The 25,379-nt window shown below is 40.1% G+C and overlaps 1 long non-coding RNA gene across 1 annotated transcript in view, besides 3 other annotated features; it reads left to right on the top strand.

Moving 5' to 3' along the window:
* LINC01508 (long intergenic non-protein coding RNA 1508) overlaps nt 1-25,379 on the top strand; it is a 132,594-nt gene that overhangs the window by 7,344 nt on the left and 99,871 nt on the right. The gene's annotated exons all lie outside the window — the stretch shown is intronic.
* Nucleotides 11,856-12,593: an enhancer, noted in NCBI's record as "H3K27ac hESC enhancer chr9:93175835-93176572 (GRCh37/hg19 assembly coordinates)". NCBI's record gives its function as "activates a minimal SCP1, AML or CMV promoter by ChIP-STARR-seq in primed H9 embryonic stem cells {active_cell/tissue: H9 hESC(primed)}" and the evidence as "EXISTENCE:reporter gene assay evidence [ECO:0000049][PMID:30033119]".
* Nucleotides 12,594-13,331: an enhancer, noted in NCBI's record as "OCT4-NANOG-H3K27ac hESC enhancer chr9:93175097-93175834 (GRCh37/hg19 assembly coordinates)". NCBI's record gives its function as "activates a minimal SCP1, AML or CMV promoter by ChIP-STARR-seq in naive and primed H9 embryonic stem cells {active_cell/tissue: H9 hESC(naive and primed)}" and the evidence as "EXISTENCE:reporter gene assay evidence [ECO:0000049][PMID:30033119]".
* Nucleotides 13,332-14,069: an enhancer, noted in NCBI's record as "OCT4-NANOG-H3K27ac hESC enhancer chr9:93174359-93175096 (GRCh37/hg19 assembly coordinates)". NCBI's record gives its function as "activates a minimal SCP1, AML or CMV promoter by ChIP-STARR-seq in naive H9 embryonic stem cells {active_cell/tissue: H9 hESC(naive)}" and the evidence as "EXISTENCE:reporter gene assay evidence [ECO:0000049][PMID:30033119]".

Genomic DNA, 25,379 nt, shown 5'->3' with positions numbered 1-25,379 from the left:
ATGAGATAAATACCCATCAGGAAGTCCTGATCTCTTCCAGGGGAGGAGAGGATTAGAGATCAATATCTGGGCTCATGAGAGCTGGTATTGGGTAGAGAGCTGTCCTTGCTGCAGCTGCTATATTTGGAAAATATATTTTGTGTTAATGACTTGGAAAAGACCATTTCTTTTACATTTTTATTTCACATTGATTTTCCAGTTTGATATATCTATTTGTTAGAGAATAAATGTAATAAATGGTTTCATCTGTAGAAAAGACTGAGTTCTCTACTAATTCATATGATGACATTGCTCTCTTCTCCGTATTTGTTTAAGTATAGAGGGAAAATGGAGAGGCAGAGAGTTGAGAACACACACACACTCACACATATATACATGCAATGCTCGTGTGACTCCACTGCCCCAAAAAGCAGGATCTAGGTCTTTCAAACACCTGTAAGGAAAGCCTCAGCAACTTGAATTTATATTTAAGATTCAGTGGATCAAGATTTTCACAAGTCAAATAGGTGCTGCCTGACTGCAGAGTGATAGTCACGTGAGTAGTTCCTATTATTTCTTCAATTGTGATTAGGAGCACTTCCTGGGATGTGTCTAATTTTACCACAGATCACCTCCTGTCGCACTGATTATATAAAACTTCCAGGATTTAGCTGGGACTTGGGGAAATGTATCTCATTGTGGATGAGAAAATGACTTCTGTATTTTATATACATATATCTCTTCTCTCTCCATTTCTGTCATATTGAATCTTTGAATCTGTATAACAAAATGCAACTTCCATACTTTATTTCCTTTAATTTTCTTGACTCTCCTCTGAGCCAGATATTACCCTCTCTGTTTTTTGTGTGAGAAAGCTGGGGCCCAGATTGGTTAAGGACTTGCTCAAGAACTTACAAAGAAGTATCAATTCTCTTTGAAGTTTCCTCATCCTAATCTTTTTAAGAAAAACCACAGAACCTACCAGAAAACTACTAGATGTTGACTGGTTCATACCTCTAGAGTTTGAACCCTAGCCAGTTGCTCCTTCTGAAAACTGAATCATTTCCAGATAATTCACAACACACCTGTAAAAGAAAGGGCACACACAAAAGGGTTTCTGGACACAGCCCAGAAAATGTGAATAAAGCAAATTTTTCAGCCATCTACTGAGGCTACTTGATTAGCTTGGCTTGGAGTGAAGTACTAAGAATCATATGTTGGAACTCAATATTGCTGCCTGATAGTCTAGCAAAAAAAGGTGTGTTGATCCCAAGAAGATGGAATTCCTAGATGAAGATGGTTAAAAGCATCTTATCTGCCCAGAACAAGTGTGCTTGTGGATGGGTTTTGAGTTGTTTCTGAAATTAGCAATTTTTCAAGGATTGCACTTTATTTTTAGTTCTTCTTCATTATATTTGCTAGTATTATTTCATTTTTCAACTCATGATTTTCTTTTCTCAATGGTAAATCTAAAGTAGCTGTCACTCCAAACATTGTTAGTTTTCTTCCATTAAAGGATATTAATAAAGAATTAGAGATAGTGTAGAAGTGAAAACAATGTAGATTCAGAGTTATACATGTATTCATTCATTTGACAAATATTTCTTGAGTCCCTGCTATGAGCCAGTTATTATTTTAGATGATGCACACAGCAATAAATAATGAGACAAAAGTCTTGTCTTTATGGAGTTGTCATTCTGATAGGGGAAGTGGACAAAAATGAGATAATAGGTAAAAGATGTAATAAGTGAAGTTGAGTAAAAGTAAAGCAGTGGGAGTCTAAGGGCATTGAGAGAGTGGCTGCAGTTGTGAAAGTTGGCCACAGAAGAGACTTGTTGTGAACATGATGCTCAGACAAAGGTCGGAATGGCGAAAGGGAGCCCTGCACATACACGGGGGAGAAGCTCAGGCAGAGGGAACAGCAAATGCACTCTCAAGGCAAGCGGCTGCCTGTTAGGTTTAAGGGTTAGCAAAGAAACTAGTGTTGCTGGAGCAAAGCAAGCACGTAGAAGAGAAAGTAAAAGAGCTAATGTGTGTGAGTGTGCAGTGAAGGGGGAAGGGGGAGCCATAAGGCTTCCATATTTACTTTGAATGGGGTAGGAAGGCCGTGGGAGGCTTAAGCAGAGAAGAGAGTGTTGAGTCAGGAACTGTGAAGGATCTGAACTTTGACCCTACTCACCTGCCACGATGTTTTACATGTATGCTGACCAAAGACGTGCACCGTTAATTACTCACAGCAAAGTCAGCAGCTGCAGAAACATCTTGCCGTTTCCTATGCCCCAAGCTCTGCAAGGAGTGTAGTGAGGACCTCACATAACTTGTATGGGTGGTGGGATCTAACGGGGCATCATGGCAGAGGAACCACACAGTTAGGTGACTGTGAGCTTTTATAGCGCTGCTATGTTTGCTTTTTTGCCTTTCCTCCTCTCTGAAGAGAGATGACTTACTACCCTGGAATGTAAGCGGGTATCTCCGGGAGGAAAAGAAGAGAGCTTTATCTTTACTACCGTGGATGTCTCTGTGGTGGTAGGTTCTTAAAATTTCTGTACAGGGATACACCACCTCTAGCTTCCAAAGCTGTCTACTATTTAAACATGTCTTTGCTCAGAAGGCCCAATCTTTGCAGAAACAAAAGTGATCCGTGGAATTGTCTCCCAACAGTCAACTCTCTCAGCACAACATGACAAGTTTTTAATAGCAAGCTCAGTGCTGGATGGAGAACAAAGTGGCAGAGGTGAGACAGAGTGGAGAGGGGAGACCAGTTAGGAGGCTATTATAAGGACTCCGAGCAGGGATGATGGTTTCTTTCAATTTGTCTGTCTACTGTTCATGTGAGATTGGCCAAGTGTCTTAAGCGCTTTGACTCTCAATTTCCTTGTGTGTACCATGTGGACAAGAGTACTTTCTAGGGCTGTTGTCGTTTATAAAGTAATGGACATCAAGTAATCCTGCATCTAAAACTTAGTATTTCTGTCCCTATTCATTTAAAGTAGCACCACTCATATTTCACTTTGGAAAACAAGCTACATGAAAAATGTTTGAATTGAAAATTAATACTTATTCTGGTAACTCAAGCATTGCATTAAATAAACAATACTAGACTTACCCATAATTACTTGATAAATCTTTACCACAATTATGATTCTCTGTGAAATCATAATGAATCTATGAATTTTATAATATAAATTTCATAATTAATCTATGAATTCTATGAATGAATCTATGCATTCATATGAATCTATGAATGAAATTCTATAAATGAATCTATGAAATCTATGAATTTTGTAATTTATGAATTTTAAATTCATAGATCTCTACAAAGAGTAAATTAAGCAATTTTCTTTGCAAAAATAATTTCATTTGCATCTTTATCAGAGAAATGTTCAAAAAAGATAAACCAAAATATTTTGGTGTATCTTTTAAAAAGAAATGTCTGAACATTTCTTTTGAGGTAATTATTATATTTCCAAGTTTAAAATATGTGATGTTTTGAAGGTTTATTTAAGATGGAGGAGTAGAAAAGATTCATCTACCCTACGTCTGGAAAGCAACAAATAACAAACAGAAAGTATAAAAGCAGAGGAGACATAGTTCAAAAAGCAGGAAACAGGCACAACACGACCCCAAATATGAATAATGAAGAGTGCCTGCCAACTATGTGCAATTTGGACCAAATTTACGGTATTTCCTCCTACCAGATGCATTGCAATACACCAGAAATAATGGCGGGTACAGATCTGAACACCCCACAGTGCTTCCTTGGTGGTCAGTGGACCTGCTATTTGCTCATAAAGGGTGAACTACTAAGAGTTTGAAATGCTGAGGACAAAAGGTATGCCTAGATGTGCCTCGGACATCATGCACAGCACAGTGGACCAGGAAATGATCAGACATAACAGCATTTCATTGAGATGGCTGATACACCTTGTCATTCCCTTGACACTTATTTTTCACTCTGTTTTCTGAAAATGCAGGTCCAGAAAGAAAAATTTTTCCTGAGTACTAGACAGAAGAGTGCCACTAGGAGATAGGAGTTTACATGCTGATCCATTAACACAGACAAAAAGCAAGAACCTAATACCCAAGTAAAATTCCTGCAAGGAAAAATGATTAAGGAACACAGTGCCTCGTTCCAGAAGAGATGACTGCCAAGCATTTGGCCCTCTCTGCCTTGACAAATAGAAACAAAGCCCAGTGATTACTGAGACCATCTGGCATTGGCACTCTTGCACACCCATGCAGAGCTCTTGATGGGACCCGTCTACCTTTGAGTGGAGCCCCCACCAACCCAGTTTCCTAGAGACCCTTCAACTGGCCACCAAGGCCACCTTCCCCGTGAGCCCCACTTTACCACTTGAGTTACAGGTCTTGGTAACATCCTTCCCAACTCCCCATTTGCCAATTAGACCCTATGGCAAAATGCACGACCACTGGCCAGAGGACCCTGCTGCACTTTGAGACCCATAAGCTCCCAGCATTGGCTAAAAATTATACACCCTTTCAGAGAAAATTACTGTCCTGTTCTTGGGCTTTTGTAAATATTGAACACGTAATCCATGGTTGTAAAATAATCTTAAAATTCCAAATCCCTATTATATTGTGAGTCTAAAAAAAGTCTCAAAATACTAAGTGGGAACAACTCAGATATTTTCTATAGTAAAACAAAAATGATACCCACAAGAGCAGGCATGACTTAGGCTAGCTGGGATACTGCAACTTCATGGAAAGATCTCAGGAGTGTCCCTTCACCTCCGCTGCACATCACCTAAGGAGATGCTGTCTCCACTGGCTCAGATATAGAGACCTCTCTTACCACACGTGGGCCTGCTTCACTGATGGCTCCTCCCAGGTAACCTTTGCTGGGCTGGAACAGGGTGTGCCTGTCATCTGGCCTAAAAGAAGCCTGTCTCTTACAGAGCATGGTAAGGGATATTCAGCTCCATGGCAGAGCTTTGTGGGGTTCTGATGGCTATACAGGCCACCCACAAAGGAGCCCTGTTGTGGTTTCGTGGACTCATGGGCTGTGGCTCAGCCCCAGACTGACGTCAAACAAGCCACCCTGTGGGGATGAGACATTTATATAAAAATTAGCTCCACTCCTAATAAACGTTTTGTTGCCAATGTAAATAGTCTCTAAAAAGGCTGCTGAGCCAACAAGAGAAAACATAAGCAATGAGCAGACTGCTTGCCAAGGAAATGAGGAGACTGAAGTGTCTGCCCCAGAGCGAGCAGATGTGTGACTGTTCGCCTCCTGGATCCACAGGAAGGTGGCCCAGGCATATCCAGACACTTGGTAGACTCGGCATCCAGCCACAATGGCCACTGTCCTCAGAAGCTGCTGGATCAGCATAGAAAAGCCATACTCCTTGCCAGACTCTGGCCTAGGCTACAAACACGGCCCAGGCATTCTTGGCAGGTGGATCCCACTGGGCCCTTCTTCCCACCTTTGGGGCTCCTCTGGATGCTGACTGTGGTTGACACTTTCTCCAAGTTCAGCCTCACCATCTCCAAACGTTTCACTGGCCTGGGCCACACTATTCAGGCCCTACAAGATCACGTTTGTTTCCTGATCAGGTTTCCTCAACACATTGCATCTGATGATAGCCAATCATGGGGCATGGAGTGGACTGTCTTATCTCTACATCACTCCCAAGTTGCAGAGATGATGAAATATTTTAATAAACGATTTACAAACAGGCTTAAGTGGCTGCTAAGAGGAGACTAACCCCAACCTGCAGTACACATCTCAGGTGAGCAGTGCCCCAAGAGGGCACTTCTCAGCTGTGGCACATAGTTGGATGGGCCTGGCTGCCCATCCTTTACCTGTGTGCCCTCCTACAGTCACTGGCCCTGTGGTTTCCGTGGAAGACCCAGCAGGGGCCTTCTATCCCCTTTGACCCATTTCTAAAGACTTTATATAAATTTTTTAAAAATGTTTTTTAAACAACAGAGAGTGAGAAGTTATGGAAACTCATTTAAAAATTTTTTAAAAAGTGAAACCTCTGTGCTAGCCAATTCTTAAACATGGTGTGTTTTCCTGCTTAAGTTATATAGAAATATTTTCCTGTGAAAATACTTTGTCTCTGTGACAATTCTCCCAAACAAAAAAATCTAAATAAAAATTAAAAAATAATTTTAAAGAATACGAAGTTTTTGTTAAAGAAGACACACTAATGACAGCAACAACCAACACCAAACGAAACACAAAACCCCAACTCCTAGAAAGGTACGGGGGAGAGAAAAAGACGTTAATAATCTTTGTTTTGTCAAACTACATGCCCTGTAAAGCTTTCTCCTCATTCCCATGCCTCCAAAACAAACAAAAACCAAAAACCTTGCCACACTGCCTCTCCCAGCAGCGGTGAGTGCTGTGGGTTCAGACAGACTGCTGAGCCTATACCCACGCCTGCAACCCTGACCCTGAGAGACAGTCTCAGCTGCCATGCAAAACATCTCCAAATGACATCTACACTCCCAAGGCTGATAAACTGATGTCACAGACAAACAAAACTGTGAAACCTACTGCCTCAGGCAGTTCCTCTAAAGCCAGGGACTAAATTATTCAGATGAAACTAAAAAGCCCAGGATAAGGGGCCCCGTGATAAAAGACTCCATTCAAAACCCTGTTAACTACTTCATTAATAAATGTCCTACTTGGGGTGCCATGACATTACAGACTCTTTATTTCCAAGCAGAGGAACCATGTGTGCCCTCTGGGATTACACTTCTCCTGTATGAATCTGATTTTCATGACAACGCTTCAGCCCTGGGAGACATACATGACAGCTTCATCTTACTGGTCAGAGCTCACTTGCCTCAGGCCAGCTAAAAAGGTTCATATAAAAACTTTTTTTTTTTAAGCTCTTAACTCTCTAAAGCAGAGCCAGATAGTCCAGGAGACATCTTTCCTGGTTTGGCAGACACTGTATTGAGACACAGAGCTCATACTGAGACCCAGTCCTCCAGGTGGGCCTCATCATCCTACGTAGAGTGACTGTGATCCCAGTCTGGGTCTTTGGTCCCCTGTTGGCTCTAATTAATTACCCAGTCCTTGACAGAGCCCCTCAAAGTCTAACCTATTCCAGTCCATGATAAAATAGCCCATGTTTCTCACTTCAGTCCTAAAAAATCCAGGAGTCGAGTGGAAGAGGTGAGGCCAGAACCCTCTGTGTCATCTCTCGGGTCCCACGTGGGCAATCACAGAGGCACTGCACAGCAGACTTGGGGGCCCTGCCCTGCCCACATCAGACTGGGGGGCCTGCCAGGGCATGGCAGGCTCTGCAGGGAGCTGCAGTCAAGGACTCAGGCCTCCTGCCCAGCCATGCTGTCATTCATAGCTATATTTCCAGCCCAAGTGGCCATATATGGAGGCCAGCTGCAGAGGCATCCTCAGGCATTTTGAACAAGACCTTCTTCTGAGGGGAGGGGTGACCTGAAAGACACTTGCCCTACTCCAACTCAGAACTCAGTGCTCTTCTACTCCTAGGCTTCCCCCAAGCCCTGCTCTCAGCCCCCAGGGCCCACAAAACTGCAGAAGCCTTTCGTGTGGGGCTCCCTCCAAAGTGAGATGACCCCCTAGACCTTCACGTCTGGGCTGGTTCACCTGACCCTCTACCCACAAGCTGTTCTATGGGAGACAAAGAGAACAAGGGGAGGATCAATGCCTTCCCTGATTTAGCCTCTTGGATGGAAAATTCCAGAGTCTTAAAAAAACTCAGTTGAAAGATGCAAAGTCAACATACAAAAACCAGTCATCTCTGTATATACTAGCAGTGGAAAATTGGAAACCAAAATTAAAAGCACCATACCATTTATTTTCATGCGCGTCCCTGTGAAGAGACCACCAAACAGGCTTTGTGTGAGCAATAAAGCTGTCTATTTCACCTGGGTGCAGGCGGGCTGAGTCCGAAAAGAGAGTCAGCGAAGGGAGATAGGGGTGGGGCCGTTTTATAGGATTTGGGTAGGTAAAGGAAAATTACAGTCAAAGGGGGTTTGTTCTCTGGCGGGCAGGAGTGGGGGTCCCAAGGTGCTCAGTGGGCAGGAGTGGGGGTCGCAAGGTGCTCAGTGGGGGTGTTTTTGAGCCAGGATGAGCCAGGAAAAGGACTTTCACAAGGTAATGTCATCAGTTAAGGCAAGGACCGGCCATTTACACTTCTTTTGTGGTGGAATGTCATCAGTTAAGGTGGGGCAGGGCATATTCACTTCTTTTGTGATTCTTTAGTTACTTTAGGCCATCTGGGCATATACGTGCAGGTCACAGGGGATGCGATGGCTTGGCTTGGGCTCAGAGGCCTGACATTCCTGCCTTCTTAATAAGAAAAATAAAACAAAATAGTGTTGAAGTGTTGGGGCGGCGAAAATTTTTGGGGGGTATGGAGAGAGAATGGACAATGTTTCTCAGGGCTGCTTCAAGCGGGATTAGGGGCGGCGTGGGAACCTAGAGTGGGAGAGATTAAGCTGAAGGGAGGTCTTGTGGTAAGGGGTGATATTGTGGGGATGTTAGAAGAAACATTTGTCGTATAGAATGATTGGTGATGGCCTGGATACGGTTTTGGATGAATTGAGAAACTAAATGGAATAACAGAAGGAGAAATACAGGTATAAAAGGTCTAAGAATTGGGACGACTGAGGATATCTGATTAGAGAGTGCCTAAGGAAATTCAGCATAGTCCTGCCAGCAAAGATTATTTATTTACTTCAAGAGTTAAGAGTGGCAGTTTGGGGATAGCACCAGGAGATATCAGCTGTGAGGGCTTGGAAAAACAGTGTAAACCGGCAGTGTAAACAAGAGCAGGGCATGTATGAGTAGTTGAGAATGGTGAATAGGAGTATGACTAGACAGAAGGTAATAGGGATGACAAGTATTTTTTGGGGCACAATCTAAGTTGGTCTGGTGTCTGGAATGAGACTGGGGCCTAATAAAAAGGAGTGTCTATACGGAGCTTAAATGGGCTGTACCCTGTAGCATTCCGAGGACAGGCCTGAATTCTGAGAAGGTAAAGTGGTAAAAGTATTGTCCAGTCCTTTTTAAGTTGGTGACTGAGCTTGGTGAGGTGTGTTTTTAAAAGACCTTTAGTCCATTCTACTTTTCTTGAAGACGGAGGACCGTAAGGGATATAAAGGTTTCACTGAATACTAAGAGCCTGAAAAACTGCTTGGCTGATTTGACTAATAAAGGCTCGTCTGTTATCAGACTGTATTGAGGTGGGAAGGCTAAACTGAGGAATTATGTCTGACAGAACGGAAGAAATGACTGCGGTGGCCTTCTCAGACCCTGTAGGAAAGGCCTCTACCTATCTAGTGAAAGTATCTACCTAGACTAAGAGGTATTTTAGTTATCTGACTCAAGGCATGTTGAGTAAAGCTAATTTGCCAGTCCTGGGTGGGGCAAATCATCAAGCTTGATGTGTAGGGAAGGGAGGGGGCCTGAATAATCCCTGAGGAGTAGTAGAATAGCAGATGGAACACTGAGAAGTTATTTCCTTGAGGATAGATTTCCACGATGGAAAGGAAATGAGAGGTTCTAAGAGGCGGGCTAGTGGCTTGTACTATAGCATAACCTGCCTTTGCTGGTGTGTGGCGATTAGGCCTGGTGGAACCACCATCAATAAATCAAGCGTGATCAGGGTGAGGAACAGGAAAGAAGGAAATTTGGGGAAATGGGGTGAATGTCAGGTGGATCAGAGAGATACAGTCATGGGGGTCAGGTGTGGTATCAGGAATAATGTGGGAGGCCGGATTGAAGTCTGGGCCAGGAACAACGGTAATTGTGGGAGACTCAACAAAGAGTGAGTATAGCTGAAGAAGCCAGGAAGCAGAAAGTATACGTGTCAGGTATGAAGAAGAAAATAGATTTTGGAAGTTATGAGAACTGCAGAGAGTGAGTTGAGCACAGTTTGTGATTTTGAGGGCCTCTAAAAGTATTAATGCAGTGGCAGCCGCTGCACGCAGACATGAGGGCTAGGCTAAACAGTAAAGTCAAGTTGTTTGGACAGAAAGGCTATATAGGGTGTCGTCCTGGCTCTTGTGTAAGAATTCTGACCGTGCTAACCATGCCTAGGAGGGAAAGGAGTTGTTGTTTGGTAGAAGGTGCTGGGGTTTGAGAGATCAGTAGGACACAATTGGCAGGGAGAGCACGTGTGTTTTTATGAGAATTATGCTGAGATAGGTAACAGATGAGGATGAAATTTGGGCTTGATTGAAGTAATGGGGGCTGTCTGTGAAGCTTTGCGGCAGTACAGCCTAGGTAATTTGCTGAGCTTGATGGGTGTCAGGCTCAGTCCAAGTGAAAGCGAAGAGAGGCTGGGATTAAGGGTGCAAAGGAATAGTAAAGAAAGCATGTCTGAGATCTAGAACAGAATAATGGGTTGTAGAGGCAGGTACTGAGGATAGGAGAGTATATGGGTTTGGCACCACGGGGCGGATAGGCAAAACAATTTGGTTGATAAGGCGCAGATCCTGAACTAACTTGTAAGGCTTGTCTGGTTTTAGGACAGGTAAAATGGGGGAATTGTAAGGAGAGTTTACAGGCTTTAAAAGGCCATGCTGTAGCAGGCAAGTGTTAACAGGCTGTAATCTTTTTAAAGCGTGCTGCGGAATGGGATATTGGCGTTGAGTGGGGTAAGGGTGATTAGGTTTTAATGAGATGGTAAGGGGTGCATGATCGGTCACCAAGGAGGGAGTAGAGGTATCTTATACTTGTGGGTTAAGGTGGGGGGATACAAGAGGAGGACACAAAGGAGGCTTTGGATTGGGAAGAAGGGCGGCAATGAGATATAGCTGTAGTCCAGGAATAGTCAGGGAAGCACATAATTTAGTTAAAGTGTCTCAGCCTAATAAGGGAACTGGGCAGGTGGGGATAACTAAAAAGGAGTGCTTAAAAGAGTATTGTCCAAGTTGGCAGCAGAGTTGGGGAGTTTTAAGAGGTTTAGAAGCCTGGCTGTCAATACCCACAACAGTTATGGAGGCAAGGGAAACAAGCCCTTGAAAAGAAGATAATGTGGAGTGGGTAGCCTCCGTATTGATTAAGAAGGGGATGGGCTTACCTTCCACTGTGAGAGTTACTGGCAGCTCGGCGTCCGTGATGGTCTCGGGGGCTTCCGAGGCGATCGGGCAGTGTCAGTCTTCAGCTGCTAAGCCAAGATCTGGGAAGGAGTCAGTCAGAGAGCCTTGGGCCAGAGTTCCAGGGGCTCTGGGAGTGGCTGCCAGGTGAGTTGAACAGTCAGATTTTCAGTGGGGTCCCACACAGATGGGACGTGGCTTAGGAGGAATCCCAGGCTGCGGGCATTCCTTGGCCCAGTGGCCAGATTTCCGGCACGTGTAGCAAGCTCCTGTGGGAGGAGGTTCTGGAGGAACGCCTGGCTGCTGCGGTTCAGTCGTTTGGAAGTTCTTGTGTGCTGGAGATGTGGCTGGGGTTTGTCTCACAGTGGAGGCAAGGAATTGCAACTTTTTTCTATTATTGTACACCTTGAAGGCGAGGTGAATTAAATCCTGTTGTGGGGTTTGAGGGCCGGAATTTAATTTTTGGAGTTTTATTTAATGTCGGGAGCAGATTGGGTAATAAAATGTATATTGAGAATAAGACGGCCTTTTGAGTTTTTAGGGTCTAGGGCTGTAAAGAGTCTCAGGGTTGCTGCCAAATGAGCCATGAACTGGGCTGGATTTTTATATTTGATGAAAAAGAGCCTAAACGCTATCCGATTTGGGATAAAGAAAAAGGAGCATTAACCTTGACTATGCTTTTAGCCCCAGCCACCTGTTTAAGAGTAAATTGCTGGGCAGGAGGGGGAAGGCTAGTCACGGAACGAAACTGTAAGCCGGACCAGCTGTGAGGAGGGGAGGCGATAAAAAGATTATAGGGTGGAGGAGCGGAGGCTGAGGAAGAATTGGGACCTAGCTCGGCCTGGCGAGGAGCAGCCTGGGGAGGAAGGGAGAGGTCAGATGGGTCTGTAGAAAAGGAAGATTAGAAAGACTCAGTGACGCTTGGGGTTGGTACTGAGGGGACAGGCGGGAGGGAAAGAAGGAAGATTTTGGACGAGTTGCACTGGGCACAGAGACTAGGAAGGGACCGATGTGTAAAAGAATGCCTGGACATCAGGCACCTCAGACCATTTGCCTATTTTACGACAAGAATTATTTAGATCTTGCAGGATGGAAAAATTCAAAGTGCCATTTTCTGGCTATTTGGAACTACTGTCGAGTTTGTATTGGGGTCAAGCGGCATTGCAGAAGAAAATAAGGCATTTAGGTTTTAGGTCAGGTGTGAGTTTAAGAGGTTTTAAGTTTTTGAGAACACAGGCCAAGGGAGTAGAAGGACGAATGGAGGGTGGAAGGTTACCCGTAGTGAAGGAGGCAAGCCCAGAGAAAAGAGTAGAGACACAGAGAAGGGGTGGGGGGTTCTTGCCCTCCAGAAAAGCAGAGAAGGGGTGGGGGCACGGAAATAAGGGATTGGGGCACAGAGATAAGAGGTCAGGGTGCAGAAATAAGGGATTGGGGCACAGAGATAAGAGGTTGGGGTGCGGAAATAAGCGATTGGGGGCTTCTTGCCCCCTAGGAAAGCAGGACTTGCCGCTAAGGGTGAAGGACCAAGGCAGGTGTCCCTGCGTGGTCTGACACCCTTGAAACGTGAGTGTGTAATCAGAGAGGTGTCCCTGCAATGATTAAACACCAAGGGAAGCCTGCCTTCCCAGTCCGGGACTGGCGCTGGAGTTTTGGGTTCATGGATAAAACATGTCTCTTTTGTCTCTACCAGAAAATGAAATGAATTGAAATTAAGAGAAGGGAGAGATTGAAGTGTGGTGCCAAGATTGAAAGGAGAAAGAGGTTGAGGGATAGTGAGGGAGGTTGGAGAAGAGAGTAAAAAGAGGCCGCTTACCGGATTTGAAATTGGTGAGATGTTTATTGGGCTGGTCGGTCTGAGGACCTGAGGTCGTAGGTGGATCTTTCTCACGGAGCACAGAGCAGGAGGACAGGGGATTGATCTCCCAAGGGAGGTCCCCCGATCCGAGTCACGGCACCAAATTTCATGCACGTCCGTCTGAAGAGACCACCAAACAGGCTTTGTGTGAGCAATAAAGCTGTTTATTTCACCTGGGTGCAGGCGAGCTGAGTCCGAAAAGAGAGTCAGCGAAGGGAGATAGGGGTGGGGCCGTTTTATAGGATTTGGGTAGGTAAAGGAAAATTACAGTCAAAGGGGGTTTGTTCTCTGGCAGGCAGGAGTAGGGGTCCCAAGGTGCTCAGTGGGGGTGTTTTTGAGCCAGGATGAGCCAGGAAAAGGACTTTCACAAGGTAATGTCATCAGTTAAGGCAAGGACCGGCCATTTACACTTCTTTTGTGGTGGAATGTCATCAGTTAAGGTGGGGCAGGGCATATTCACTTCTTTTGTGATTCTTTACTTACTTCAGGCCATCTGGGCGTATACGTGCAGGTCACAGGGGATGCGATGGCTTGGCTTGGGCTCAGAGGCCTGACATTTATAGTTACTAAAAAACCCAAAAAGGACATAGCTAAAATATATATTCTAAAAAAGCCTTCTCAGATTCTGTTTAGTGAAAACTACAAAATATAAATGAAATAAATCAAAGAGTAACAAAATAAACGGACAAACATACTGTGTTTATCTTCATAGTAAAGGTGTCAGTACTTCCCAAATCTGTAAGTCTAATGTAATTCTTATCCAAATCCCAACAGAATTATTTGTAGATATAGAAAAGCTGATTAGAAAATTTACGTGGAGAAGCAAATGAGAGAGATCAAATAGTTTCAGAAAAGACTAATGCAGGAAGGATAACATTATGCAATTTTTTTTATTGTGGTAAAATATATATAACAAAATTTGCCGTTTTTAAGTATTTTAAGTGTATAACTCAGTGGCATCAATTATATTCGCAATGTTGTACATTTATCAACACTATCTACAGTTATTTCAAAACATTTCCATCACTGTAACAGAAACTTCACACCTATTAAGTGATACATCTCCATTCCTCCCTATCACAGCCCCTGGTAATCTATAATCTGCTTTCTTTATCTATGAATTTGCCTATTCTAGGTACCTTATATAAGTGAAATCACATAATATTTCTTCTTTTCTATTTGGCTTTTTAAACTTAGAATAACATTTTCAAAGTTCATCTATGTTGTAGCACATGTTAGCATTTCATTCCTTTTTAAGGCTGAGTAATATTCCATTGCATAAATAGATTGCATTTTGTTTACACATCTGTTAGTGGACACTTAGGTTCTTTTTACATTTTATAATGCTGCTATGAACGTGGTGTACAAGTATCCATTTGAGTCTCTGTTTTCCGATCTTTTGGTTATATTACTAGGCAAGGAATTGGTAGGTCACATGGTAATTCTATGTTTAACTTTTTGAGAAACTGCCAAATTGTTTTCCACAGTGCCTTTACCACTTGACATTTTAATCAGAAATGTGTAAGAACTTCAATTTTATTGTATCTTTGTCAACGCTTGTTATTTTCTGTTTTTGCTTTCTTTTATTGTAGTTGTCCTTGTAGTTGTGAAGTGGTATTTCATGATTTTAATTTGTATTTTCCTAATGGCTAATGAAATTGGCAATTTTTCATTTGCTTATAAGCCATTTATTTCTTCTTTGGAGAAATTCTATTCAAGTCCTTTGCCCAATTTTTAATTGAACTGTTTGCTTTTTGGCTGTTGAGTAGTAAGAGATTTTATATATTTTTGGTATTAGGTCCTTAGCAGACATGTGGTTTGCAGTTTTTTCCATTCTATGGTTTGTCTTTTCACACTCTTCATAGTGTCCTTTGAGTCACATAGATGTTTAATTTTAATGAAGTTTCATTTATCTTTTTTCTTTTGTTGTCTATGCCTTTGATGTTGTATTTAAGAAAACATTGCCAAATCCAAGGTCATGAAGGTTTGTCCTTGTTTTATTCAGAGTTTTATAATTTTAGCTTTTGAATTGAGGTCTTTTTATTTCATTTTGAGCTAACTTTTGTATACAGTTTAAGGTAAGGTCAAACTTTATTCTTTTGCATGTGTATATCCATTTTTCTAGAATTATTTCTAGAAGACACTGTTCTTTCTCCGTTGAATGGTTTTGGTATACTTGTCAAAAGTCAATTGCACTTTTTTTTATTTTTTTAAGACGGTTTCATTCTGTCAACTTAGGCTGGAGTGCAGTGGCACAATCACAGCTCACTGCAGCCTCTGGTTCCTGGGTTCAAAGAATCCTCCCTCCTCAGCCTCCCAAGTATCTGGGACTACAGGCACGTGCCACCAAGCCTGGCTAATTTTTGTATTTTCTTTCTTTTTTTTTTAATTGTAGAGACAAAGTTTTAACATGTTGCCCAGGCTGGTCTTGAGCTCCTGGGCTCAAGAGATTTGCCCTCCTTGGCCCCTCAAAGTGCTGGGATTACAGGTGTGAGCCACTGCACCCAGCCTGAACATCTTTTAATGGTCATTATAACTAAGTTTTGTCAATTTTATTGATCTTTTCAAAGTACTAATTTCTAGTATTGTTTATGGTATGCATTGTTTTCCTATTCTTTGTATCATTTCTACTATAATCTGTATTATTTCCTTTCTTTTATTTTGATTTAAGTTTGTATTTTTTTTTCCTTAAGGTGACAATCTAGACTACTGATTTGAGGTCTTTCTTCTTTTCTTAATGTAAGTGCTTTGGGCTATACATTTCTCTCTAAGCACTGCTTTAGCTGCACTCCAAAATAAGGATTAACTGCTTTCACTTACGTCCCAATTTTTGGCATTTTGTGTTTTTCATTCATATCAAAGTATTTTCTAAGTTTTTTTTAAAACTTCCTTCTTAATCACAGGTTATTTAGTAGTGGGTTTTTAATTTTCACATATTTGTAATTTTAAAAAATTTCCTTCTGCTGTTTATTTCTAGCTTTATTCCACATGATCAGAGGAGACACTTTATGTAATTTCAGCCTTTTTAAATTTATTGAGACTTGTTTCGTGGCCTAGCACATGGTCTATTCTGGAAAATGCTCCATGCATACTGAGGAGATAATCTATTTTGCTGTTCTTAGGTAGACAGTTTTAAAAATGTCTGTTAAATGGTGTTGGTGCCCAGTGTTGTTGAAGTCTTCTATTTTCTTCTATTTCTGTCAAATTATTCTATTATTAAAAATATGATATTGAAGTTACTAACTAGCATTGTTGAACTGTCTATTTCTCTCTTCAACTCTATCATTTTTCTCTGTGTATTATGGGGCTCTGTTTTTAGGTTCATATATACTTATAATTGCTATAATTTCTTGATGGACAAATACTTTTATTATTATAAACTATCTCTCTTTATGTCTATTGACATCTTTTGTAAAAACTCTATTTGTCTGATATGTATAGCTATTCCAGCATTCTTATAAAGTTTGCATAATGTATTTTTCCACTTTTTTACTTTCAACTTGTATGTCTTTGAATCTAATGTATGTCTCTTATAGACAACATATAGTTGGATCATTTTTGTTTTGTTCTATTTTATCTAATCTTCTCATCTCTGACCATTTAGACTTAATGTAACTTTTAAAGTATGTTTTGTGCCTGTCGTTGTGTCATTTAGTTTCTCTGTGTAATATGTGATTTTTGTTCATTTAATACTCCATTACTATATTCTTTTGTATTAAATCAATATTTCTACTGTATCATTTTAATTCTTCTGGTTTTTCTTTTACTACATTTTTCAACTTATATTCTTAGTGGTTGCCTTGGTGATCACAATTAACATCTTAATTTATAACATTTTGTTTTCATTAATGCTGACATAATATTATGGGTATATAGCAGCTTTGCTCTTATGAAGCAAAGCTGTGGTGCCATTATCATACAAATGACCTCTTTATACATGATAGGTCCATCAACATAGTTTTGTAATTATTACTTTATTCAGTTGTTTTTTTAAATCAAGTAGAAAAAGAAAAGTTACAAAGAAAAACAAAAATCTATTTATACCGTCTTTTGTATTTACCTATGTAGTTACCTTTAACGGTATTCTTCATTTTTTTATGTGGCTTTGAGTTACTGGCTAGTGTTTTTTCTTTTGAGCTAGAAAGAATCTCTTCAGTATTCTTGTAAAGCAGGTGGTCTAATGATAAATTCTCCAGTGTTTGTTTATCTGAGACTATCTTAATCTCTCGTGTTTTTGAAAGGTTTTTTTGATGAATATAGAATTGTTGTTGATAGCGTTTTTCTTTTAGTGCTTTCACTATGTCATCTACTGCTTTTTGGACTCCATAATTTTGAATGCATAATCAGCTGTTAATCTCATTAAGGAGCCTCATAGTGCTATTTTGTTCTCCTCAGTTTACCTGTTGCCACAGGGGCTCCCTCTAGTTACCACTGGTCGTGCCTAAGGGGCCATATGGGGTTTCCCCTGGCTAGGCCACCAGTGTCTTTCTGTGAGGGATGGGAATCTTAGGCCTATGGAGATAAGGAGACATCCCTAATTTGGGGCTTGCTGTGGTAGGATCCTCTTTGTCTTTGGGCATGGAGAATGCATCTGTGCTCTTGTGCTTGTTCTGGCAGAATACTCCCTGGAGGTGCCCATTGGCTACTCTGATGTCTCTAGGTGGTGGAGTGGCATCTCAGGCCTGTGAATACAAAGCAGCTTCCTGGGCTAGGCACTTGTTGTAGTGTGGTTTCTCTTTCTAGTGCCATCTGGGCACCCTGTATCTCTTAGTGGTAGAGGGGAATCCCAGGTTCAATGGTAAAAAACACTACCCCCTGGCTGCTTAATGTTAGCAGTGGTGCTGGACTGACTTGCCCTTGTATTCAGGACTCTCACTCAGTTTTGGGAGAAATATGCAAATAGGGGCTACCTTCATATTGGTAAGAAACACCAGGGTTGGACAGCCTGTGTTCTTGTGTTGGGTGAGGAGATGAGAGACTCCAGTTGTCATGTTTCTCCTTCAGTCTTGTCATTCAAAGCAGTTCACCTTCCTCTTTCTACCCCTCAAAAATCACATGTAGTCACATCTTGCATTATTTCCAAGGTATACAGTTGTAACTGCTGGAGAGAAGAGGGTAAAGGAGTCTTCAGAATCTTATCTGGACTGGAAGTACCCCAACTGATTATTGACACTGGTGCAAAAGCAATTCAATAAAGAAAGGGATGCTTACTCAACAAATGATGTTGGATCAATAGGACCCATAGGTATAGAAAGGAAACCTCCAACTAAACTTTGCATCCTATATAAGTATTAACTCACTATGGATCACAGACTAAAATTAAAATATAAAACTCTCAGTTTTGCAAAAAAGATAAAAGAAAATTTGGGGAATTTGTAAAAATAAATGAAGAGTACTTGAACTTTACTCCATATGTGTGATTCATATAAAAATATGACAAATTGATCTCATCTAAATTAATAACTTTTGCTCAGTGATAGCCAGTGTTAAAAGGATGAAGAGACAAATTACAGATAGAGAGAAAATACTTGTAAGCCACATATCTGACTAAGAACTGGTATATAAAATACATGTAGATGTATTTTATACATTTTATACAAACTGCACTCTTTGGCATTTATTCCTGAGTAATGAAACTTTACACAAAACCTGTGCATGACTTCTTTAAGAAGCTTTATGCAAAATAGCCATATCCAGAAACAACCTGAATGTCATCAATAGATGAATGATCAAACCATGATTCATGTATACCTTGGGATAGTCAACAATAAAAAGAAACAAATTATGGATACACAACTTGGAATAATCTTCAGGGAATTATGCTTTGTAAAGAAAGCCAATCCCAAGAGGTTACATACTATATGATTTCATGTATTTAGCATTTTTGAAGTGATAAAATGTTATAATTGGAGAAGAGATCAATGGCTTCTAGGGTTTAGGGATGGGTGGGGGTGGGAGTGGACATGAGGGAGGTAAGCATTATTATCCAAAGGCAACACAAGACATCCTTGTGTTGCTGAAACTTTATCACGACTGTAGTGGTGGACACACAAACCTACACATATAATAAAATTGCGTAGAAGTAAACACACACGCATATGCACACGGGTAGTATGAATAATACTAGGAAAATCTGATCAGTGGATTCTATCAATATACTGTTTGTGATATTTTACCCTGATATTTTGAAATGTTAACATTGTGAACAACTAGGATAAAAATATATGGGACCTCTATTATTTCTTCACTTAATCACAGTAAATGAGCTTTGCGTCTCTCTGGAATTTGACCTCAGAGGTCCTGGTTGACTAATACAGATGTTTTGTGTATTTTCACCTAACTCTTCTAGTTGCTCTCAGTGAAAGTATTGGTTTACTATAAGTTACTCTATTATAGTCCTGTTCGATTGATTTTTGCAAGATGATTAAAATAGAAAACTTGAAAAAATGACACTGTTAGATGAAAATCTATGTTTTTGCAAAATGGCTAATTGTCTAAGAAGTAAAGCTACCTGGTTTCATTATCCTCATCTACCCATAAAATTTGAGGTTTTATAACACAGATGAAATAAGGCATAGGGATTATAAACATTATTTTATCTTTGCCTAATTATGTTCAAACTTCTAGCACACAAAGGACACACCACACCACTTAGATGAGATCATTTCCGAAGTTCCTTGGAATCTTGTTCCAGTTTACAATGGGATAAGATCAAACTGGTCTTCACATGATTGATTTTAGTTTTTTCTGTAAAAACAATAAAGTAACTACTCTTTAAAACACACACACATGCAGGCATGCACACACATTTTGCCCACTGACAAATATTTTTATGTGAATAACTTGTTATTGTAGTTTTTTCAAATGACACATTCAGCAACCATATTTAAGCAAATGCAGAAGACTTAATTTAACTCCACCATCTGTCCATACAACTTTGAATAAATTTCATTTGTTCAAAATATCTTTAAATATAGATTATTTTAAACATAGATTATTTGTCAGGATCCACCCATTCCTCTGGTCTTTCCACTCACATAAATTAAAATTTTTCGCATGTTCTCTTGTAATATTTTTGAGAAGAAGAAGTGTAATTTACCTCCTGTTGTTTGACAGCCTCCTTCCCCCAAATGCTAACTAGATGGAGGTCAGAGTGAACACATTCTATTTGTACTCATGGGCCATCTATCCTACAAGTTTCACTTCACAAAACCCTGCATAGAATCATCCAGCAAAGGCAGAGAGTTAAAAAGATCTGATTGTCACGGTAAGTCTAGGAAGATTGGCCAAGAAAATTTGGGTAAGGCTATTATGAAAATGCACCATAGAGTTCTCTTATGTACAAGAGAGTATAAAAGCAAAACTTACCATTTTCTTCCTTGCAGCATAAAGCTGGGTGTTTAAACAAAACAGTGGGAGGGGATTCCAAATATATTCTACTTGAGTTAATTGTTTAATAATGGGCCAAGAAGTATTCTATCTTTCTTCCAAATATTTAAATTAGAAAAAAAAATTCCTTTCAGCTATTTAACAAACATTTTACTAAGAATAGTATGTAATTCAAACGATGATGAATTGAAACAGCTCTACAGAGCCAGATAACAATAGCAACAACAATGAAGGGTGAATGAATGCGCTGCATGAATCAGTACTAAGTAGCATTTGGGGAAACAAATAAAATGTATTCAAAGAGCATGCACTTCCTAAAATAAAAGGATGTTTCACGGAAACATAGCAGCTGATCTGTCTATACAGATATAATATATATAATCTGTTTAACATTAGTGCAGGACTTCTTCAACCACTATTGTTTAAGGGGCTATAAAATAGCCAATGAACTGTTCGCATTGGGAAAACATAGTGTATTGATCCAGGGGTCGGCGTTTCTGGTCAGACCTCCTGGGTCCAAGTGCTGTCACTAACATGGTTTCCTTGCAAGAAGGGCTGCTTCTCCGCCTGACCCCTAGATTCCCTATCTGTAAGATGAGGAATCTTATGAAATCTTTATGAAAAGTCACTGAGACACTGTAGACAAAGTGCTTGTCACAGATCCTGACAAAGTGGGGCAAGATGGACCCACAAAATTTGGTGCTGTGGCAAGTGTCAAGTTACTTTGGTATCAGTAGGCGTCATCATATAGACGTTCTATCTCTACAGCCTTGGCTACCAAGAAGTAAGTCACAGTGGAAGCAGGTTTTGGTGCACATCCTGCCAAACACACACGTGCAGAAGCAAGCACGTGTAGGAGCCATGCCCACTGCCATCAGAACCTCAGAGGCACTTGGCATGAAAGGCTCTTCTCAGAGAAAATGTTCTAGATGCTAATGTCAAGCTCAGCAGGCAGGACTTACACCTGGGTCTGGTGGCAAAATGCAAACTGAAGTGGAAGCAGCAGGGTCAGCCCGGGACCCTTGTTTCTTATGTCCTGTGTAGGCGAAGGTGACAAGCTCTGCCATACCACTCTTTCCAGTCACGGGTGCAAAAGGACAGCAATTGCACCAACTAAGAAATTAGTTTGAGTACCCCTATGTGAATTATCTAAGCTTAAGGTATTGATTCAGAGAAAGGATACTTCATAAATGGATTAACCACCACTAAAGTGTTTATTAGAATGCCCTTACACACATGCATTACAGAGTGTTTTCAAGTAATTTGCTCCACAACAAATATTAATATAATGGAGGGTAACAGAAGGAATAGTGTAAGTCCTTACTGTGTACTGGGAATCTTCTAAAAGTTTAACATGAACTACTTTATTCAAGCCTCACCATCCCCTACTGTGCTAGATATGTTTATTCACATTTTACCGATGAGGAACGTGAGGCTAAGAAATTAACAACTTTGCAAAGTCGTGAGGCTAGTGAATGACAGAGTCAGGGTTTAAATGCAGACAGCTTTAATTACGTCTCTCCAAATGACTTTCTACTTTACTAAACAAATAGCAATTTTATCACACTGAATCATATATCAAAGTAGCTTGAAAGCTATAACTGTTATATGAACACAAATTGTATGTATTGTTATTATTGTTATTATTAATTTTACTATTATGGACATCATTTTATTGCCATAATATAGTGCCAATTAATAAATGGTAGCTATTAATACTTTCATCAATCTAACTTGTGTTCCAAATCTCAAAAGGCAGAAAATATCAAAATATAAAACAAAAATAAAAAAAAGCTACTAGTTTGGCCCAAATACTTGTGGAATACTCTGTACTTTTATCTTCCAAATGGACAAATTGAAGTTATTACCTAATGATAGAAAAACACAATGGAAAATGTATCCCACCGCTAACATGGGCCTCATCAAATGACTGCCACATTAATTGCACTTGCTTGGAAATGTGTATGTATAAAAACAGTGAACGAACCCAATTTATGTAAAATTATGTTCTTAATAGTAAAATTAATGATAATAACACATACAATTTGTATTCATATAACAATTATAGCTTTTAGGCTATTTTGATACATGATTTAGTGTGATAAAATTACCACTTGTTTGGTAAAGTAGCAAGAGTGAATCATTTGCAGAGATATGCTTAGAAAGCAGTCTCATACCTGCTAGCCAAATTCCCTTTCTACTGTTATTATTAGCAGGTTAAACACATTTTCAAACAAAATTGTGGTCATATACAGTGAGCAAACCAAAGCTAAATACATAGTTTGGATTATGTGATTCAGCTTACCAATAGAATAGCTTAAACATTATTATAGTTGTCTGGGAGCTGTGGCTCACACCTGTAATCCCAGCACTTTGGGACGCCGAGGCAGGCGGGTCACTTGAGGTCAGGAGTTCGAGACCAGCCTGGCCAATACGGTGAAACCTCATCTCTACTAAAAATACAAAAATTAGCTGGGCGTGGTGGTGCACACCTGTAGTCCCAGCTACTTGGGAAGCTGAGGCAGGAGAATCACTGGAACCCCAGAAGCAGAGTTTGCAGTGAGCCGAGATCACACCACTGCACTCCAGCCTGGGTGTCACAGCAAGACTCTGACTCAAAAAAAAAAATATATATATATATATTATAGTTGCCATTTAAAATTTTAATATAAATTTAATGTCATGCACATCTTATTTAACTTAACTTTCCATATTCATACCATTTAATATAGCAGAGTTATCATTTTTGTGGTGAGAACATATTATACCCCTCTCTTGGCATTTTTCAACAATACAATCTATGGTTAACTAACTATAGTCAGCATATTGTACAATAATTCTCTTAAATTTATTCCTCTTATCTAAGTAAAATTTTGTATTCTTTGACCAACATTTCCTCATCTCTCTGCCCCCAACACCAACCACTATCATCAAACACCCCAGATCCTGGTACCACCATTCTACTCTCTACTTGCATGAGATTAATTTTTTTTAGATTCCACATATAAGTGAGATCATGCAATATAAGTGAGATTTGTCTTTCTGTGCCTGGCTTATCTCACTTAACCTGATATCCTCTGGGTTCATTTATGTTATCAAAAACAACAGGATTTCTTTCCTTTTGGTGGCTGGATAGTATTCCACTGTGTATATATACCAAAATTTCTTTTTTTTTTTTTTGAGATGGAATCTTGCTCTGTCACCAGGCTGGAGTGCGGTGGCGCAGTCTTGGCTCACTGCAACCTCTGCCTCCCGGGTTCAAGCGATTCTCCTCCCTCAGCCTCCCGAGTAGCTAGGATTACAGGCACGCACCACCACGCCCAGCTAATTTTTGTATTTTCACTAGAGACGGGGTTTCACCATGTTGGTCAGGATGGTCTTGATCTCTTGACCTCGTGATCCACCCGCCTCAGCCTCCCAAAGTGCTGGGATTACAGGTGTGAGCCACCGTGCGCAGCCCACAATATCTTTATCCCTTCATCCATTGAAGGGCCCTTAGGATGACTCCGTCTCTTGCCTTTTGTGAATAGTGCTGCAAAAATATGGGAGTGCAGATACCACTTTTATGTACTGATTTCCTATCCTTTGAGTATATACCACGTAGGGGAATGTCTGGATTATATGGTAGTTCTGTTTTTAATTTTTTTGAGGAAACTCCATACTATTTTTTCATAACGAGTATACTAATTTACATGCCCACCAACAGTGTGCGAGGCTTCCCATTATTTTTGCTTTAAACAATTGCCTTAACAGAGATTTTAAAATGAGAAAAAATTTGTGTATTTAACCATATACTTGTGATTTCTGATTTTCTTCATTCTGTCTATTATAATGTCTTGTGACTTTGAAGGGCTTCCTTTAATATTTCTTGTACTGCAGGTATGCTAGCAATTAGTTCTCTCAGATTTTGTATGTCTCAAAAAGGTTTTATTTAGCCTTTGTGTTTTAAAAATATTTTTCTAGGTATGGAATTTAAAGATCATGTTCTTCCTTTGCTACTTTTAAAAGTTGCTTCATTTTCTTCTGCTTTACATTTTTTTCTAATGAGACATTTTTATTTCCTGTTATATAAAAAATCTTTTTGCCTGTTTATGTAATATGTCCTTTTTCTACAGCTGCTTTTAATATTTTCTTTTTTTAAACCAAGTTTTCAGCAATTTTATTATGAGGTGCCTGGTATGACTTTCTTCTTGTTTCTTCTGCTTGGATGCTTTTGGGTATCTTGGAACTTTGGGTTTTAACAGTTTTCATCATATTTATAAAAATAATTGGCCATTATTTCTTTAAATATCCTGCCCCCAACCTTGTCCAGACTCTAGTTACTCACATGCTTTGTCACTTGTGCTGTCCCACTGCTCACTGATATGCTTTCTGATCTTTTATTGATCTCTGTGTGTCATTTTGGGTAGTTTTTATTCCTATGTCTCTAGGTTCACCCATCTTTTTGTCTATAATGTCTCATGCTGTTTATTCCATCAAGTATACTTTTCATTTTGGATATTGTATTTCATCTCTATAAGTTTGTTTGGGGCTTATTTTACATGTACCATTCCTTCCCTCATGGTGCTCATATTTTCCAACCTTTTTGATCATATGGAACACATTTATATCTGTTTTAATGTCCTGACATGCTAAGTGTATTCTTTGAATCACTTTGAGATCTGTTTCTGCTGATTGATTTTCTCAAATGTATGAGTCCTGTCTTTCTAATATTTGATTCGTTGTTGAACATGAGGAATGTATGCTGTTGAGTGGCTGGTGTTGTTGTTTATAAAAATATATTTGAACTTTGTTCTGGGATGCAGTTAAGTTACACCTTTTAAGTGGCAATCGCTTTGTCCTTTTTAAGATGTACTTTAAATTCTACCTTTTCTATAGATGGAATTTAATGTCATTACTGACTCACATATTCACATCGCTAATACTTTCTGTACATAGCTAAATTCCATTTCATTTTCCTGAATTTTGCTTTTTTAATAAATTTTCTTTTCTTTTCTTTTCTTTTTTTTTTTTTGTTTGTTTTTGTCACTCTGTCGCCTGGGCTGGAGTGCAGTGGCTGGAACCTGCCTCCTGGGTTCAAGCCATTCTCCTGCCT

The sequence above is a fragment of the Homo sapiens genome, chromosome 9 (assembly GCF_000001405.40).
Source record: "Homo sapiens chromosome 9, GRCh38.p14 Primary Assembly".
Taxonomy (NCBI): domain Eukaryota; kingdom Metazoa; phylum Chordata; class Mammalia; order Primates; family Hominidae; genus Homo; species Homo sapiens.
The sequence above is the reverse complement of the archived record's forward strand: the minus strand, read 5'-3'. Positions and strand labels throughout refer to the sequence as shown.